Raw genomic sequence first — 6361 nt, 5'->3', positions numbered from 1 at the left:
CAAGAATACATCTGTATTTGCACTCTGAGCAAGAGACTTCCTGTTGTTGTGTATGTTTCATTAAGAGATCTGGGAAAAATTAGCCTTGTACCAGGATCTGAACTATAGTTTGAAAGTGTTTAGTGGGTACCAATGTTAATGGCATCATTTTTGAATGATATACAGGATATTTTTAAACACTTTCCTTCTGTTCCATTTTTACACTTTCATTATGTTTGCCAGCATTGGGCAGTTGGTTGCATTTACTGAAGTTTGAATAAAAAAATCTAAGATGAGTTACCAAAACACCTGCTAAACTCATCTTGCAAGATTGGTCAATAATAATTTTTATATTAGAGTCTCCCCTCTCTATAGACCTTCAATAATTATTTTTAACATCTGTTTTTCACTTCCAGTGTTATTTTAATTTTACTTCTATATAGGTTTCTATGGATGTCAGATGTTCCAAAATGATTTTTAGTTGTCATAAGCAAAATTGTTGTCATTTTGATAAAATTCCAACAGTGGATTCCAATTTGTTCATTCAAAAATAACATAAATTGCTGGCAAAAGTCAGTAGAAGATATTATATTTATATTTACATGGATTAAGCTGCCAGGAGTGCTATCAGAAAATTTAAATTAACATGGAATGGGATGAAATTTCCCCAAGTCAAAGATACCAACAGAGAGGCAAAGAGAGGTGGTCAGTGGTTAAAGACAGATGAGCAATTAAGGTACTTTCTTCTTAATAAAGATTGAGTTTGTACTTTGTCTTCTTGAAGTCTGGCAGAACATTTCACAGTAGTGGTTGGTGTTTGTAGTTTTGGATTTCCATATTTGAAAACTATACAGTACCTCCATCAGATTTGTTGTAATGGATCCAAATTTGGAAAGTTCTTTACATATTTAAAATGATACATGAGTGGTTCCAGATTCTCCATGGGCCTGATTTCTGGCTGACCAAGGGAATCTCTATTTGTGTCCTTCTCAGGGCTTAGATGCCTGCTGTGCTCACTCCTGCCGAGAGGCACGGCCACCATCTGCAGCTCCTGGCTGCACTTTCTAAACAGCTGCCTGGGTCAGTTCTTTTGACTAAGATATAGCCGAGTTGTACAGTTTACAAATGAATGGAAAATCATCACCCTACCAAGTCTTAAATGGTTATGACTCCATCACTCAAGAAACTTCAGGAATCAACATTTGGTGATCTGAAATACACTGAAGCGTCCACGTAGTGATGTTTGTGTGTTAGATTCTGCTCCATTTTCCAATGTCTTCCCCCATTTTCAGTCAACTCTTCATCTCTGCAGTGGTGGCTTTAAAACATGTCTACAAATGCCTTGACCGTCTTTCCAGTGGGAGGCAGAGTCTAACTCCCTGTCCCCCGAATGTGGGCTGGCCTTTGGGAAGAAAAGAATAAGGTTGAAGTGATGCTGCCCAACTTCTAAACCCAGTTCCTAAAAGGTACCTTTGGCCTTTCTCTCTCGCTCACTCTCTGTCTCGCTCTTTTGGGATGCTTGCTCTGTGGGACTGGCCATTCTAGTGTGAAGAGGCCCAAGTCATCTGGAATAACCAAGTGTAATATTAAAATTGTGCTTAAGCATAATATGAATGCAGAGTGATTAGTCCTGGGAATGGAGTAGAGGCTACGTGTTACTTTCCTGGGTAAAACAACAAAAACTTCTGTGTCTCTGTCTTTTTCTATAGCAAATGAGGGTTGGGGATGGGGCCTGTATGGATGGTGCAGGTGGTGTCTTCATCCTGAGGCTTTCTTATAAGACTAACAAACACTTGTACAAGTCCTTGCTTTCTTGTTCCTTGTTTTTTTTTTTTTTTTTTTTTTTTTTCTTTCTTCCTGAGACTGAGCCTTGCTCTGTCATCCAGGCTGGAGTGCAGTGATGCGGTGACGTGATCTCAGCTCACTGCAACATCTGCCTCCCTGCTTCAAGCGATTCTCCTGCCTCAGCCTCCCGAGTAGCTGGGATTACAGGCACGTACCACCATGCCTGGCTAATTTTTGATTCTTAGTAAAAAAGGAATTTCACCATGTTGGCCAGGCTGGTCTCGAACTCCTGACTTCAGGTGATCCACCCGCCTCAGCCTCCCAAAGTGCGGGGATTACATGTGTGACCACAAGGTCATTTCCTTGTTCCTTAATTATTAAATTTTCAAAGGCAATATATTGAAATATATGGGAATGTAGGAAAATAAAAAATGTAGTCAGAATAAAAACTCTACAGCCTTACTTCCTGCTGACATCATCTGGCCACAACTTTGCTCAAAAAATTCTGGGTACGTTAAGCCGTTGTGGCAATTGATTTTCATCACAGATGAATTTTGTTTTTTGTATTTTACTTCCATTTTTAAGTCTAAATAGAAGATGAATTATATGTTATGTAGGGTTTTTCATCTTTTGGTACCTCTGTGTCAAGGATAAATATAAATTGAAGAATTGGAATGACTTTCCCACTGCCAGGAATGGAATGCATTAACATTTAAAATTCACTAATTCTATTGATCTTCTAAGGGAAAAAATTGTTTAAGTTGTTCCTAAATCTATCTCTGACTTGTAGGCCCGTGAGAAGCAAAACCACAGCAGGAAGGAAGAATGTGATACTCACTATGTTTAGAAGGGAAGGAGTGGGAAGAGTCCAGTTTCCTTGTATTTTATTCCAAATTCTTTGTTTTTCTGTGCTGTTTCTTTTTTCTTTGCTGAGAAATTGATTATTCTAAATTCCCCCCTCACCCCATCTTGTGCGTTACGTATGATCAGCAGTAAAAAGACCACACATAATCCAGATGAGCTCCAGTATTGCTTTTAATTTCTATGGAACTGACTGTGTAACTCTATTAAGACTGATGACAAAAGAACTATTTTTGGTGCCTCTTAGAAAGAAACACACTGGAGCCTGTTATTTTCAGTAACCCTGCTGTTCAGAGAGAAAAGCACCAACAAAGCTACTTTTTTTTTTTTTTTATCAAATATCACTAAATTCTCCTGCCTCTGTGGGTTTATCCTTTAGTCTATACATTTGACCAAAAGTGCAACACATCAAGGCTGAACAAGCTCTGCTGGTTGCCTGATTCCAAAAAAAGGAATCAAGGATGTATTGCACTTTTGTTACCCACAGATTATGAGTCTTGAAAACTTTCTTTTTTCTCATCAAATGTTTAACAAGGATGTCGTTTTAGGATCTTATCATGGGAAGTGGTCTGGAAATGTGATCTTTATTCTTCTCAATCTCTGCTTCCACAAACACAAAACCACTTTGGCCGATTCAAATTAAGGTTTGACTGACTTCACCAAGAAACCTGGAAAAAACCTATGATGCCAGAATGTTAAGATTTCCCTTAAACCATTCTGTGTATTCGCAACTCAATGGTGTGCATTTAGTAACAACAGCAGGCTCAGCCTGTTCAGTCATTAATAATCACTGTGTGGAAAAGAGTCCATGGGCTAGTAATCTAGCAAGAAAAAATGAAGTCGAGGGAGCTTGAGTCATCAATGAGAGTGGAGTGAACTTATATTAAATCTCTAGCACTACTCTACAGGATAAATGTGAGAAGCACAATGGAGGTATAATTAAGATAATTTGGAGAATATTTATGTCAGTTCTGAGAACAGAAGTTAAAATAACTGCAAGGTTTTAAATTTGGGTGATTAATAGACTGCAGTAGCTCTAAAATAAAAAAAATCATCAGAAAGAGATGTAGAAAGATAGAGTATAGATAAACAAAATTGGGCTATGTAAGATTAGGGAAGAAAAAACTGGTGATGGGAAATAATATTGTTTGAAATATTTGAATAGTGTAATAGAGAGCATGGTAAACTTATTTCATGTTTTATAGGAGAAAGATTTAAGAGGAATAAGAAAAATTAGGGAATCTGGATCAAAACATTAAAAAATATATCTGTCCTAGCAAAACAATAAATTTAGAAGCCTTGGTAAGAAAACTTCCTCATGAACAACACTAGTGATGTCCAAGTTGAGGTTAATGGGCTCTGAAGTTGCAAGAAGAATTTTTACTTAGAGTGGGAAGCAAGTCATCCTTCACTCCTCCTTGTTCCTGACTTTTTGTTCAGCTCACATATACAATCTGGGACAATGTCTTGTTAATTCTGTATGGTTATGCAGTGAACTAGTGTTTATTGTGTGTTGCACACCAAGTCAGGTACTCAGGTTGCACTGGTGAAGAAACACAGATGTTTCCTGTTCTTACGGGTCTTACATTCTAGTGGGAGTGTGAAACAGTAAATAGAGAAACTAATATATAAAATTATTTGGGGTAATTATACGTGCTGTAGAGAAAAAAAAAAAAAGCTGGCTAATGAGTTAGATGGACCAGGGTAGCTGTTTTGGATAGAGTTTTCAGATATTTTATCTGTGAGAAGTTGATATGTGAGCAAAGGCCTGAATGTGGAGGAGGAGCCAGGTAAGCACATCTCTGAAGAAGAGTTTACAGGCAGAAGGATCATCCTCTAGAGGGCTTGAAAGGAGATTGAGAGGTTTGAGGACAAAGACCATTCTAGTGCACCTGGAGCAGAGTAAGCAGCAGACAGAGTGATGGAGATAAGATTCGGGAGAAAGAAAAAGCACTCACTCATGCAGGCCAGGGACCATTGCAGCAAGCCAGATGTTACTCTAAGTGGTGTGTTGGAGCCACTGCAGGACTTTTGGAGGTGGTAGTTATGATTCTGGTCACTCTAACTTCTGTGTGCACATCGACTGGGAGCTGGAGGGTGGGGACAAGAGTGAGAAGAGAGTGAAGGGTGAGAAAGCCTTTGCAATGGTCCAGGTGAACATTCACAGTGACTTTGAGAGGAAGGGCAATGTGGAGAAGATAGGGAGGGATGAATCACTGCCACTGCAACAGGGATAAGTTTTTGGCAATTGAGCCAAGACATATTGATGAATTGCTTATATGTGCATGAAGGGTCTAGCCAGGAGAAGGGTGGAAAGGGAAGAAGAGGAACCAAAGTGATTTTAGGTGTTTGTCTTTAGCAACTGAGTGATATGCACAGAAACAAGGAAGAATGGGGAGGAGTAGGCTGTGGGTGTGGCAGGAATTGGGAGAAGATTCAGCTGTCTTGGTTGAGCCCAGTGTGTGGAGTTTACACAATATCCAGGTGGAGATACAGTGTATCTATATCTGTATCTGCCTATAGGTCATGTATGGCTATCCACACACATGGATTTTTTATATTGGACATTTAGAAAACTGAGAATTAAAATATGTATATTTGGTACTGTGAACCCAAAAGTATCTGAGACAGGTCTCAATCAATTTAGAAGGCTATTTTGCCAAGGATAAGGACATACCTGTGACAGCCTCAGGAAGTCCTGATGACATTTACCCAAGGTGGTCAGGGTATAGTTTGCTTTTATACATTTTAGGGAGACAAAATATATCAAACAATACATGTGAGGTTTGCATTGTTTTGATCTGGAATGGTGGTAGAACTTGAAGCAGAAGTTCCAGGTCCTAGGTAGATTTAAACATTTTCTGATTGACAGTTGGTTTAAAGAACTATTATCAGTACAAAGGAATTTCTGGGTTACAATAAAGGGTTGTGGATACTCAGGTTTTATCATGCAAACGAAGCCTCCAAGTATAGGCTTTATAGAATAGACTGTAAATATTTCTTAACAGACTTAAGGTTTGTGTTGATGTTAAATGCTGGTCAGCTTTTCCTGAGTTCCAAAAGGGAGGAGAGGATAATAAGGCATGTCTGACTCCCCTCTTCCCTGAACTAGTTTTTCAGGTTAACTTTGGAATGCTTTTGGCAGAGAGGAGGGGTCTATTCAGATGGCTGGTACCGGGGGCCACTTAAAATTATCTTTGGTTGACAGTTTCATCAGTGTATAGAAGGAAAGAGATGAAATCACCAAAAGAAAGACTGACAATAACAAAGAGAGGTCTCAGGACTAAGCCTCCTGAAGAATGGGATTCCCTAGATGGATAGGATGGTCCCACGGAGATTGTCAAGAGTCACGAAGTACGAGTGGAAAACAATTTCTACTGTAGCAACATGGAGTCAGAACAAGATGGAAATCGAAGATTGGCTGTTGGACGTGGTAAAGTGAAAGTCCTGTGAACACTGAAAAGAAGCAGGTTTGATGGAGCACTGGGGTGTTTGATTGGAGTGTGTTCAAGAAAGAATGTGGGGGAAGAGTGTGGGTGGCTTTAGCAAGAAGATTTGTTGTTGAGGGGAGCAGAGACAGCAGGCAGCAATGGAAGAAATAGAAGGCCTGTTTTGAATTTAAGATGAGATGATGTCTGTACGTAGATGTGAGGCAGAAACTGATGATGCAGTTATCATCAGAAAAGAATGAATTGCTAGAGCAAAATCTTTGAGTAGGCAAGAGGTTATGGCAAAG

Source organism: Homo sapiens, chromosome 10, assembly GCF_000001405.40.
Source record: "Homo sapiens chromosome 10, GRCh38.p14 Primary Assembly".
NCBI lineage: Eukaryota > Metazoa > Chordata > Mammalia > Primates > Hominidae > Homo > Homo sapiens.
This window is presented reverse-complemented; position numbering follows the sequence as displayed.